At 40.7% G+C, this 13,963-nt stretch overlaps 1 protein-coding gene across 17 annotated transcripts in view; it reads left to right on the top strand.

Moving 5' to 3' along the window:
• The window catches only part of EPM2A (EPM2A glucan phosphatase, laforin), a 352,671-nt gene that overhangs the window by 93,138 nt on the left and 245,570 nt on the right, over positions 1-13,963 (top strand). For 13 of the 17 annotated variants that reach the window (XM_024446550.2, XM_011536113.3, NM_001360064.2 and 10 more), the window contains one exon: positions 7,400-7,641. The exons of 2 other annotated variants lie outside the window; for them this stretch is intronic. In XM_024446550.2, the coding sequence (XP_024302318.1) occupies positions 7,400-7,641 (242 nt within the window). Of the gene's footprint in view, positions 1-7,399; positions 7,807-8,924; positions 11,594-13,963 lie in introns of those variants that run through there. 2 more of the 17 variants (XM_047419363.1, NM_001368130.1) reach the window with 2 other exon arrangements.

Genomic DNA, 13,963 nt, shown 5'->3' with positions numbered 1-13,963 from the left:
TTATATTAGTATATAAATTCCCTAGCATATCAATAAGGCATTGCCTGGTCATTTTATATTTATCTCATTCCATATTCTTCCTTGTTCACCACACTCCATGTCCCTAGGTTTCTCACAGTTCCTAAAGTATACCTGACTCTCGCTTTAAAAAGGACTTTGGGTATCTGCCTCTTCTGATGTCAGATCTGTTTTAATGTCACCTTTTCAGAGAGCACCTTCCTGTCTTATCTAAAATCTCGTTCCCCTGTAGTTCTCTATTTTAATTCCATGTTTATGTCCTTAAAAGCACATTACAAATTAATTCTATCTAATGTATACATTTGGTAAATGTATTTGTTTGTTGCCTGTCTTCATCAAAGAATGCAGGCTCAAATGAAGGCATACTTTGTCTTGCTTACTGTTGCTCACTATTGGTTGTTGAATTACTGGCAAAAAGCAGGCATCATTTCATATTTGTTGAATCCACAGATTCTTTAAAACAAATACAAGAAAAGTCACGTATTTAATTTTTTATTCCTTGGTCTTTTGTGCTTCCTAATTCAGTATGCAAGGGATTGATTTTAAACAAGTCTTTTCAAGTTCACTAAGTAAAAAAAAAATTAAATATGGCATTTTAACTTTTCAAAGAATGCTCAGCATTGGAAACAACATTAACAAACCAATAGTCTATTTTCAAGGCACATTTTGTTTAAATCTGTATCAAGGTAACCAAGTCGTAGCCTGGTTATTTGCCTCAATCTTTGTGCTGCCTCATGATTGACTTTAAGGAAGCAAAGTTTGCTAGTTGCCTTATTTACAATTATAATCTATTGACACGGCATATAGATCAAATTTCAGGGCTATATATGCTCAAAAACAAGAAGGCCAAACTCTCTTGGACTCAGTCTTAAGAAGTTGTGAGTCTGAGAGACTGTGCTCTTACATCATGGGATTCTTCATTGAGGTTCATTCTCTGAGAGTCATGTAAGAGGACCCAGGACTATACCACATTTATTAAACCTAGACACCCCAGAACTTCAGTACCAAATCATTAGATCAAGAAGGGGCCCACGTATTTCAGTCATTTTAGTCGGAGTCTGGTGATCTTTTCCCTCATGTGAGAGGTGCGCAGGTGATAGATGGAAGGACATCAGTGAAGGAAGGAAGAAGGGTAGTATTGTGTAAAGAGAGCATTTGGGAACTACCATCAAATGCTAGTTGTATTTGCAAGAATTCCAAACATCAGGATGAATGGTGAAAAAAGATCTATTACAATGCTTTAAGGACGTCTGGTGTATGGATATTTGAAAAGAGTCTGGATGATTGAATGACTCTATTTTAAGCCTGAATGTTTAGACTTTTATTGGGTTGCTAAGGCTGCTTTAACAAAGTGCCACAGACAGTGTGGCTTAAACAATAGAAGCTTATTATTTCACAGTTCTGGAGGCTGAAAGTCTGAGATCAAGGTGTCCACAGGGTTGACTCCTTCTGAGGGCTGAGTGGCAGCATCTGTTTGAAGCCATCTTCTCCCTGTATCTTCACATTGTCTTCCCTCTGTGTCTGTGTTGAAACCCCCCTCTTATAAGGACACTAGTCATTTTGGGTCAGTGCTTACTCTGATGACCTCAGTTTAACTTGATCACCTCTGTAGAGACCCTGTCTCCAAATACAGTCACATTCTGAGTTCCTAAGCGTTAGGACTTTAACATAGGAGTTTGGGGAGGGGGACACAAGTCAACATAATAGGCCTTTATAATTAATGATATGGCATTTCATAATATGGAAAATAAAAGAGCATTTTGTCAAAAATTATTTGCTTTCATATGGCTCTAAACTACACAGTACATCCCCAAAATGTAAGAAATGAACTGGACTTACAGAAATTAACTTGTGCTCTATATACATAGTGTATGACTCATAAAAAACTATAATAAAACTATGGTTTAATAAAGAAGCTAATTAGTATCACTTTCTAAATTGGAATTTGTCTTTGAGTAGTTATTCAGCCTTAACTGGAGCCTGTTATAAGCACCCTTTTGGGGTAGAAGTTTGGCATTAATAACTTAACACTGGATGCTAGAGGACAAATTTTCAGCAGAAGGAGCTGTATGTGCTACTGAAGCCTGGAGCTTACTAGAGGTTGATTTTAATGTTTCTCTTGCTTTCCCACTAATGAGATCTAAATTATAGGACGGATAGACTTTTTTTCCCTTTACTCATTATTTAAGAGCCAGTTCATATTTTAATTTCTCATTGAATTGCCCGTAAAATATTAAATAAGATAAATGCAACACAATTATCCAACTTAGGAAATGTGCTTTTTTTTCTTTCCTTTTAAATTCTTAGCTGGGTTTTGTTAAGAGCTTCAGCAAAATCGATTTTCTCTATTTTTTGAAATGGTGCTCCGTTTGTATGGCTAGGAAGAGGGCACTGCAGTTCAACAGTTGGAGTCTTTAGGTGTGATAAATAAACAAAAGCTGGTTCCATTATTCCTGTGGTTTTCCTCATCTTTTTTTCTTTCGATGGACACAAAATAATGCTGATTTTCACCTTTAGGAAAAGGTTATTCTGCCATTTCTCATGGCCATTAGTGATGGAAGCTGTAATGTGAAGTCCATTGAATGGACTTGTCTCCCAATACCTTTTGTCTTTTAGACACCCACTTCTCCTGTCGATACCCTGTGGTGATTTTTACAAAGTGCTTGGATGGTCATTCTGTCTGATGTGCCAGTGAGGCTTCCTTTGACTGACAGTTGAGCGTCTGATTCATACGCTTCAGTAGCTGTTGGACCACAGGCCCAAGCCTGATGGGTGAAACAAATACTGTAGTATTATGATATGGTTACCTGGAACCACAAATCCAGATTCACTCAAATGAGTTAAATTGATTTTGATTTGCAGTCTAAGAAAATAAGGTTCCAGAATGTCAGCCATCTATTCTTTCCCCTGGTCTTTAGCTAAGTTGTAATACTACTAGGGTAGATTTTATTTATGTATAATCTGATTATAGCACAGCAGAAATAGTCAAAACCCTAGTTAATAATTTTTTTTCTACAAAAGTACATTCTTATGCATAGGACTATATTAAATATTTGTCGTGGCTCAGAAGTAGATTTAGTTTTGACCAGTTAGAAGGTACTGTGCATTAAACACATGGATATACATTGTCTCTCATAACAAATAATTTCTCACTCTAGGAATTATTTGTAGTCTTGACACTATTTTTTGGACAAAGATAAGAACTCACCTTAATTTGTAGATATGTCAGACTGAGGAAGCCCATTTTTTCTCATCTCCATATTTTTTACTGATATTTAAAAAAGATATTGGGCTCTATATATTAAGCTTCTCTTACATGCATATGGAGACCTTGGACTGGTGGTCCAAGGTGGTGGTTCTGGAATCTGCTGCTTACACAATCTAGTTAATTTCTAAACAGACCAAAAATCAAAGAACCTACAGAATTATAGGCCTAACTCCCAAGCCTCTCTATAAGTATCTCTGAGATGGATCCTGGTAATAGATGTTTTTATAAAAGTACCTCATGTGACTTGAATGCATAGCCAGGTTTGAAAACTTCTGTCCTGAGCTGACTGAGTGTCAATACCCTGTTGGTTTAGTTGGCGTCTCTTTACCTCCAAATAGTCTATAGTGGAGCTGCCAGAAATCTCTTGAGTTCATGATTGATAGTGGATTATTTATGAAACAAGTCTCTGGAAGTTTTATGATATAACTTATAATTGTAAGCTATAACTTCTATTCCATTATATCTTTGAATTTTGGTATGCCTTGCATTAAAACTACTCTTACAGAGAATTTTTATTCTCTAATCTCATATGTCAACAGGCTTCTTTTCACCCTAAAAATCCTGATGTTAAAAATTGTTTAAAATAACATTGATACCAAAAGAAGACTAAAACTGAGATGAGATGAGTAAAAATGAATTTTTAATGGTATCAAATTATCCTCTTTTGAATGGATGAGTAAAAGTTTAATTACTTTTTAGAAAGCATATCATGTATCTTGTTACCCCCAGTGAATCCTATAACTAGAAATATATCACCTACTTTTGGAAAACAAACTGAAATAGGATGCACATGAAGGGCACTTTAGCTGTCTGATTAAGCAGAATCCATTGATGTGTTTGTTTCCAACAGGCCCAGTCTTTGTCTCTGCATCCCATACAATGATTCAGTACAAATCACTTTATAACCTTACTTTTCTATCTTTCAATATAGTGTTTGTTTTCAGAGTTTATCTTTAGTTATCTGTCTCTAGGTTTAGAACATCTTGTTTTAAAGTAGCAGAAATTAGTTCATACTCATTTCTTAAATATGGACTCTGACTTCCACCATGTCTGGATGTATATTTTAAGGGCTTATTTCCATCAGAAATGTTATGTGTGAGATATATGTGTTAAGCTACTGGCTTTGGGCCTGTTTATCTTTGACTTGTTCTGAGTTTCCCTATCACCTTAAAAACATTTGAAGGCCAGGGCTGAAGGATATGATAGAATAACACCTCTTTTAGCAACAACATGTGACTCTATAGACTGACTCTGATTTGGGATATGCTGACTCTGATTTCTTATATTGCAGGCTCAAATGTCCTAATTTACCCTTTGTGTATCTCTATGAACTATTCTTGAGCTTTTATGCAATCCTGTGTGAAAAATCAGCCAGCCATTTTATTTTGGCATTTACCGACTAGCGAAATACTAACTAGTACCCACTCAAAGAGTGCAATATTCAAGAAAATGCTGAGTGGTATTTGGATTTTAGCTTGCCTGTCATGAAATTCTCTTTAATATTTTACCAGTCCTCTTTAAAATTTTGCCAGTTGAAAAAAACAAACAAACAAATAAAAATTACTGTCTTATAATAGTTTCTATTTCTTGGTTATGTAACGGAAGTGTCCACTTCCCTCTTTTCCAGCTTAGGAGCTTTAGTGTGCTCAGTTGAACCCCAAAGTATACATACGTGAGCCCAGCACTATCACCTCACTAGGCATCCAGCAGGTCCCTGGGTAAGGGATCTTTGAAAGATCTGGAAAGAGGGATGGGACATCTAGTTAGAGGCAGGTCTCACTCAACAGCCAGAGGGAAGGGGCAATCAGCAAGTGGGTGTGACATTTCCCCCGAATACTCAGCTATCCAGGTCCTGATGAAGCTCGGCTCTTGGGCACCCTGCAAGTGTCCTTGCTCAAGGTCTTTCTCTCAGTACACTGGGTCCAGTGGAATATCTAAGAATTATCTGGATCCAGGGATAAGATGAAGGCCTTGGATTTCATGCCTCTCTTTCCATCACCATTAAGTCTTTTGCCATTTCTAACTTTTCTTTTATCATTTTTTTCCCATAATAATCCTCAATAAGGATTTCTGCAAGGAAATTCCTAATAACCCTTTAGACAAGAACACAAGTAGAAAAAAAAAAAAAGTTGTTCTTCTCCTGCAGGGGAAGCAGGGCTCAGGCTTTAGACAGATAGTGCCAGATCTTATGAGATAATTTTCACTGATTATGGGTCATGACCACATTAGAGGATTAGTTAATTGGCTTCTCCTGTTAACATCAACAATGACAACCACCACCAAAAGGAAAAAAGCAAAAAACAAAAAAAGCTAGCTTTCATACAAAAAAATAGGGTATCTTCTACTCTGTAGCATTCAAATGAAGAATATAGGAAACAATGAAGAATTAACTGAATAATCTTTACAATGCAATGCAAAGTAAATTACAAAAATAAGTAAATCACTATAGCTACACATGAAATCCGCTTGCACTTACTGTGCATCCACGGTTTCAGTCCAATTCAGGTACATTAATTGTATTTATTCCTTACAAGATTTTTATGAGTTATTTTTAGACCCATTCTAAAGATGAGTACACCAACAGGTTAGAGTTGATAAATAACTTGGCCTAACATCATACAATTGTTACTAAATGTTATACGAAATCTTTTTTTTTTTTAATTTTTTTTTTTTTTTCAGACAGGTTCTTGCCCCATCGCCCAGGCTGGAGTGCAGTGGTGTGATCTTGGCTCATTGCAACCTCTGTCTCCTGGGTTCAAGCAATTCTTAGGCCTCAGCCTTTCAAGGTAGCTGGGATTACAGGTGTGTGCCACCACGCCCAGCTAATTTTTGTAATTTTACTAGAGACGAGGTTTCTGCCATGTTGGCTGGGCTGGTCTGGAACTTCTGGCCTCAAGCAATCCCCGCCTCAGCCATCCAAAGTGCCAGACTACAGGCGTGAGCCACTGCGCCAGCTTCTTTTTTGGTTTTTACATTTTTCCTTTTGGCTGTTGTTGTCAACATTGTTAACATGAGAAGCCAATTGCCCAGTTCCCTAATGAAGATCCACCACTGTCTTTCTAAAACTTCAGTTCTGCTTACCCTACAGGAGAGAATAAACTTTTTTTTTTTTTAAGAGATGGAGTCTCACTCTGTCACTCAGGCTGAAGTGCAGTGGTGCAGTCTCGGCTCACTGCAACCTCCGCCTCCCGGGTTCAAGCAATTCTTCTGCCTCAGCCTCCCCGGTAGCTGGGATTACAGGTGTCCACCACCACGCCTGGCTAATTTTTGTATTTTTAGTAGAATTGGCCAGGCTTGTCTAGAACTCCTGACTTCAGGTGACCCGCCTGCCTTGGCCTCCCAAAGTCCTGGGATTACAGGTGTGAACCACTGCATCCGGCCAGATAAGCGTGTTTTATGTTTTTTCTCCTTGGGTTCTTGTCTAAAGGGTTATTAAAATTTTTCTGAGTTTTTAACTTTTTCATTTCATTATTTTTTTCTATAATAAACCTCAATGATAATTTCCAAAAGGAAACTATATTGCTATTTCTCCTTCTTACCTTGCAGCATTAGATGAAACCTATAGAACACTGCTAGGTACTAATGGAATTAATGTTGATTCTGATCTTATTAAAAGAAGTCTGTTGTTTTTTAGCTTCTGTTCTTTAGCATATGTTAAAAGTCTCATACTATTTGAAATATTTGCATAGACTTTTAAACCGGAATGCCTGCTGAAATTTGTTTTTCAGAATTTATTTATATAATTACAGGAATTTTCACCTCTAATTTGTTAGCATTTGAAGTCTATTGATGGATTTTTATCATGTGGAACCATATATGCATTCATGGAATAAGTACAACTTGGTAGACTTATTTTAATATATTGCTTGATTTGGTTTGCAAATGTCCATTTCCTGGCGTTCTAGTTAATTGAAATACTTGCTTTCCCCAAAGCAGCAACACCAGTACTTTTTCTTTCAATAATAACATTGGTGTTCATATTCTAAAATATCTAGCTTTTCCTGTGCCAGACTTAAAGGTTAGTTATATTTTAATACTACATGTTTTATGCAGCTCCTTAAACCTCAAATCAGAACAACACTAGTGATAGTTGTCTCCATATGTTCTCATTAGAATTCTACCAAATATCTGGCTGGGTAGCTGCCCTCGTCAGGTGGAACATGTAACCATCAAACTGAAGCATGAATTGGGGATTACAGCTGTAATGAATTTCCAGACTGAATGGGATATTGTACAGAATTCCTCAGGCTGTAACCGCTACCCAGAGCCCATGACTCCAGACACTATGATTAAACTATATAGGGAAGAAGGCTTGGCCTACATCTGGATGCCAACACCAGATATGAGCACCGAAGGTAAGGATCAGAACTGTTCTGCCTCCTTGCTGTATTTCAGAGAAACCCTTGCTGTCTGTCTGTCTATCTATAATTTAATATCTTAAAAATGAATGGTAGAAATGGAATAAATATAAGATTTTAGATTTAATATATATAATACATATGTTTTGACACTGTGGCTAAGATTCTGTTTAATGTGGCTTCTTTGTTTATTCATTCAACACATATTTATTGTGTATGTACTGGGTATGCGGCATTATGCTAGTAGCTAGGAACACAGCAGTAAAGAAAGACAGGCACAACTTCTGCCCCCACGGAGCGCATTGTCCTATAGGGATGGCAAATGTTAATCAAATGACTAAAAATAGAAGTTTAAAACTATGATGAATTTTTTGTTAGAAAATATATAGATATTGCTATGAGATTATGTACAGGTAATCAGGCCAAGAAGTGGGGTCAAAGAGGGTTTTCTTGGAAAGTAGTGTTTGGGCTAAGATCTGAGGGTGGGCTGGAGGAAGAGTGAGTGGAGGGAGTGACCCAGGCAGAAGCAGCAGCTTAGAAGAATCCTTGTGGCAGGAGAGAGCACAGAGTGTTGCAAAAACTGAAAGACCAATGTGGCTTGGATCAGAGAACGAGGAAAGATGATCCTGCAGGATTTGAGCGACAAAAAGGACTTTAGACGCTATCCTATAGCAGGAAGAAGCAGTTGTACAGTAAGACGAGTTCGACACTAATTACAGCACAGAGGGGAATGGGTAAGAGAGGAGTGAGGACCGTGCTGGAGGAGGGTTATGCATGGGAAGAGCACATTCTGGGGAGCGACAAAGGGAGGCTGCGTGAATGCCATGGCACTTGAGGTGGGCATGGCTTTGATAGGTAGATGTGGAGGGAGAAAGGGCATGCTAGGGGGAAGCAGCAGCACAGGCTATGGCACAGAAGCATGGAATTTTAGAGGAATGATAGGGATTTTAGCCTGGTTGTAGAATAGGGTACTTGTCGAAGAGGAGTAGAGATAACTACAGTCGGCAGAGGAGAGAACCAAGTTACACCGATAGTATCAAGCAGCTGTCAGCAGGGGGCAGCAGAGAGCTTCAGAAATGGGAGAGGCTAAGGAGTTTGATGACCTCCTCTGCTGGGGAAAGGACAGTGATATCCAGCTCAGAGACGTTTCTATCTTTAGCCCTCTTCCCCCAAATGTATATTATGTACAAAACACTCTCCTAAGCAATTTACAAGAATTAGCTTATTTAATTCTCATAATAAGACTCCAGGCAGATATTGTAGCTGTCTCTATTTTGCAGACGAAGAGGCTGAGGCATGAAAAAGTTATTGCCCATGTCATAGAACTAAAAAGAGGCCCATTCTGAATTTCAAGGCTGGCAGTCGGACCCAGAACATTGCTCCAGACAGCAACTTTACCAGCTATGAAGCTTCTCCCTGCATTCTTACACAGACGCTTCAGGCAGGTTCTTCAGACCCATGCAATTTCAACCCCTTATGTTCATGATCATCTGGAGTTAGGCAGAGCCTACAAATTGCAAGGGAAGTAGCTTGTCTCCCCAAGAGTGAATGGTCTGCAAGATAAAAAACCATGAGGACCACAGGAAATCTACGTTTCTGGACCTTGCCCACCTCAGCCCTTTATGGATCTCAGGTGGTCCTCCTGGCCAGGCTGGGCCCCTTTGTTGATCTGTGTCTGAGCTGAATTGCCATTGGGGATGGGGTATAATGTTTGTTCCTGAAGGTGGAGAGAGCTGCTGACAGTCTGGTTATTCCTCTTGGTAACCTGACCTAAGGAAGCATGATTTAGCTGTAAGAGCTCTGCCCTTCTTCAAGGAAGAAAAAAAGAAAAACTTCATTTGCGAAGATGCACATTGGTTGAATCCAGGTGATATTTACCTTGTCCAGCTGGTTTTCCTGGTTTCAAAACAGAGAAGATAGTTAGGATTTGAAGGACTGTAGCTTCCAGAGAGCATTTTGATGTTAGCATCTCTGAATCTGATTTGACAGCATTGTTATCCTGTTGGAGAATGATGTGAGACGAGGCTGGGAGAAGTTAGGCTGCCAACTGTGCCACGCATCCCCCGCCATCCCATCCCAACCCACACACTGATTACCTGAAGGCTCTGCTGACAGATAGTAATTTGCTTGATAGTTTGGGACTCTGCAGAAGCCTGAGGGAAAACTGTATCCCCAAGGACCCATTGTAGTTGTGTTCACGAACCTTTTTTGCGGTCAGTGGGTTACCAGGTCACAGTCGTAACTGTTAGTGCAGTAGCATAGCTTCTTTCAGGCTGAGACAGTGCAGTGGCATTTGAGCTGCAAAATGCAAGCTTCCACGTGATAAAGGCCCAGCTGTAAGACCGACTAATGGATTTCTTTGGCTTGGCCTAACCTGGGGGTGTAATCTAAGGGTTAATAACCACTTCTGAGTGGCAGGGGAACTTTTTACCAATAGACCAATGTCTGTGGCTCACAGTATTAGCCCAATGAACACATAGATTAATCAGCTGAATATTTTTAGAACTCTAGAGAAAAACCCAGTTGGAAGTGTTTTGAGCTGCAGCATAATGCTCTCAGTTGAAGTCTGAGAAAGAAGACAGTTTGTTAGGCTTGACTGTCACCGCTAGTTGTCACAGACCTGTTATAATCAATCGTGTGATCGATCCTTACTCTTGCATGCTTTTGTCATATGTGGAATGGTGGTGTAGATTTCTTTTTTTAAAAAATCTTTTATAAACATTTTGGTTTGTGTCTTTCACCTAGGGAATGAAAATCTGCCAAATCTAACACTCACCTGAACAAAACAAAATGAAACAAATCTGCTCGTTAAAATTTTCTTTGCATAGAAGGTATTCAGGTTGTGTTTTGACCTCTGTCACTGCAGCACTATTTATAACAAATGTCTACCCTTGCCTCCCAAATGAGTTCACAGGCTTCATGAAGTCCTCAGCTACCCCTCTGTTGTCAAAGTCTGACTTCCTTTCCCTTGCTCAACACACTGATTTCGGCTCTCCCATTGCACGGAAATGCTGACCTTGGAGCCAAGACAACTGGGCTAAAGCCTTGTCACCACTGGGTAGCTGGGAGGATATCGGCAGGCTAGTTCCTGCATTAAGAAAATGAGGATAGTAATTTCCACCTTACAGGACTATAACAGTAGAATAAGATAATTGATATGAAAGGGCTTTGAAAATCACAAAGTTGGAATTGTAGGATTAGTTCCAAGTCTTTAAGTTTCTACCAAAGGATGTTATAGATAATGTAGATCCTATCTATATTACACTTCAAAGATGGAAAAAAATATGCCCCCCACATAATATATTCATCATATATCTGCTCCTGGAGTAAGAAAGGAAAGTGTGTGTGTGTGTGTGTGTGTGTGTGTGTGAGAGAGAGAGAGAGAGAGAGAGAAAGGCTGAAAGCTGCAGATTTCTTTCAGGATCAACCTTGGATAAAGCATATCTTTAGGGCCTTTTGACCCCTCTCTTTTATCTCAGGCCCTAATACCTCAGGCTACTTGACTTACCTGCCCAAATGCTCTACCTCTCCCTCTCCTCACAACCTTGGCTGGCTCAATAGTGCTTTCAGGAAGCTTTTGGTTGGTCCAGAGTCAGATTAGCCTGGAGCTGGTGTGAACCACAGGTTAGGCTAGAAGTGCTTAGTAGTGTCTCAGATCAAATAGGCTTTTATTGCTGTTTTTCTAGTCTTGTGTTTATTCATGGACTTAATGAGTGTGTATGGAGCATCTACTGAGAACTAGGGCCTGTATTAAATTACAGAGTCAGAAACTCAGAGGGTAGAATGTCTTGTTTGACCTGCAAAGGATTTACAGTTTTTCAACTTAGTTGTCAGCATTTAAAGTTTGGAATACTTTATGTTAAAAGATCTGGATTTCTGTCTTTTCTTGAGGTTTTATTGTTTTTAAGAATGGAAATGTCTTATCAAATTAAATTCTATGTGGAGCCTATCTATAGCTGCTCTGGTTGACACTGGCTTTGTTGAGCTGGGTACATCAAGATGAACCTTCCTGGGGACCCTCTTTTTATTCCTTAGTGGGTCACATATTAGGTTAGACTTCCTAGAATGGGTTTCAAGCAGAGAGACATGGTCCTCTTGAGAGGGCTCCTCTAGGGTGGGGCAGAGGTGTTAATCCTCAAGGAGGACATTATTCTCACCCAGGGTAAGAGCAGCAGCATGGGCTGGTAAGTGAGTGCAGAGGGACTGACTGAGAATCCAGATTGACAAGATGGGGGCCAACAAATACCATTAACCAGGTGGATTAGGGAAGGACCACAGTACAGTGGTTAAGACCTGCGGCTTCAGAGTCACACTGGCTGAGTTTGAGTGGCCACTTAAGGAATAACCTTGGGCAAATGTCTGTGCTCAATTTGTTCATATATAAATTGAAGATCACAACAGTGCTGACCTCATAGTTGTTAAGAGGTGGTTGTAAATGGGCTAGTGCATGTAAAATGCTTACGAGAGTGCTGGGAAGGTAGAAAGGGCTCAATAAATGTTATCTACCATCAACCAAAGCGGGTGATTTGTAGTCACAGGAGATCAAAATAAACCAGGCCTCCAGCTGTGGCCAGGCTGAGATGAGTGGGCACCCTGGACCAGCTACTTCTCTGGTACCCTTCTTTTTTAGATGGAGTCTTGCTCTCTCCCAGAGGCTGGTGTGCAGTGGCACAATCTCGGCTCACAGCAACTTCCACCTCCCTGGTTCAAGCAATTCCCCTGCCTCAGCCTCCTGAGTAGCTGGGATTACAGGTGTATACCACCATGCCTGGCTTTTTTTTTTTTAATTTTAGTAGAAATGAGGTTTTACCATGTTGGCCAGACTGGTCTCGAACTCCTGACCTCAGGCAATCCACCTGCCTCGGCCTCCCAAAGTGCTGGGATTACAGGCATGAGCCACCGCGCTTGGCCTCTGATACCCTTCTTAAGTATTTATTCTTTATGTTGATTAAACATTTGCTCATTCTTCAGTGCAATGGTTGAGTGATTCCGGGAGAAGATCACTGATGGCTGTGCCCAATGCTGAAATCTGTGTGAGGCTGGGAGCCTTGGGAGCTTCTGCATGTTAGCTGACATGTACCTTTCAGGAGTGTGTGCCTGAGATCACAGAACCTCAAACTAACACATGCCCCTTTTTAACTTCTAAACTGTGTACATACCTCTTGAAGAATGTTTTACACATAAAATGAAAAGGGGAATGTATTGCATCATTTGTGCTATTTGGTGCAGACCCATCCTAGGGGAACCTCTGGCCAGAGAACAGGTCTGGGGAAGGGATCTTGACTGGGACCAGGGAAGATCTTGTTTGCAGGCTGGTTACACTGATGTTGTATGCACCGAGTGCCAGGGGCTGGGATTCTGAGTCCAGCAGCTCCTACTGCAAATGACCACTGTGGGCTATTCACATACTGGGCATCTGAGGCAAGCCTGAACCTACGTTAAATGATTCTTTTTTGTTTCCTGCCAAGGCACATAGTATCTGGAGAGACAGGCACAGCAGGGAGCTTGCCATGTGATGCTAGCTGTGGCAGGAGCAGGAAGAACCTACGCTTCCAGCTCGAGCAGCAGAGTTCTCCTCCCACCCAGCTTTCCCTGGAGTGAACCCCTCATACCCTCAGCAGAACAGAAGCCCCACAGTGGAGCAGGCCTCTCCATTCTCAGCAGGGCTGATCCATCATACATTGGAGGTTTTGGTCCTCTGATCCCCCAGCGCAAATAGTGGATCTGCCATGCAGTGCTCTCCCTGAGACATGCTGAGACATCTTGCTGTCACACATGATGCTCTCACCATCCTGTTGCATCTCCAGTGATATTTTAGTGCCTCTAGGAGGGCACCATGAGTAACTGAGTGGCAGACCCACCTCGCTGTAATCTCACGGTGCCGTGGAATCAGGTGTGGTGGTTTAGATGGGTTAAAGTTCATGGTTCAGTTTGGACTATGAGGAATCAGATATACATAGAAGCTGGTAACTCTAATACAAATGCCCTTGGGGACCAGGCAGGGAACAACAGTGTATGGCAACAGGCCAGAGAAGGATGGAGCTCAAGGAACTGAAACCGTGTCCTCCCTGCCGGAAGGCATTCCAGGTACAAACGTTCTAAACTGCTGTGTGGAGCATGCAGTCTTAGATCTCTTCACTAGGGGGTTAACAGAGCTCCAGCAACAAAATTAGAATATTATCCTGGCTTCCATGTGGACTCTGCTCCTTCTCAGAGCTTGATGAGCCTGAAGCTGAGGATGATGCCTGGCTGGGTGGAATGGCCAGTGAGAGGCCTTTCAAGCCACACTGTGGTCCTTGGTAAACTCTGTCCTTCTCAG

The sequence above is a fragment of the Homo sapiens genome, chromosome 6, assembly GCF_000001405.40.
Source record: "Homo sapiens chromosome 6, GRCh38.p14 Primary Assembly".
Classification (NCBI taxonomy): Eukaryota; Metazoa; Chordata; class Mammalia; order Primates; family Hominidae; genus Homo; species Homo sapiens.
Note: the sequence above shows the minus strand (reverse complement) of the source record. Positions and strands in the feature narration are given on the sequence as shown.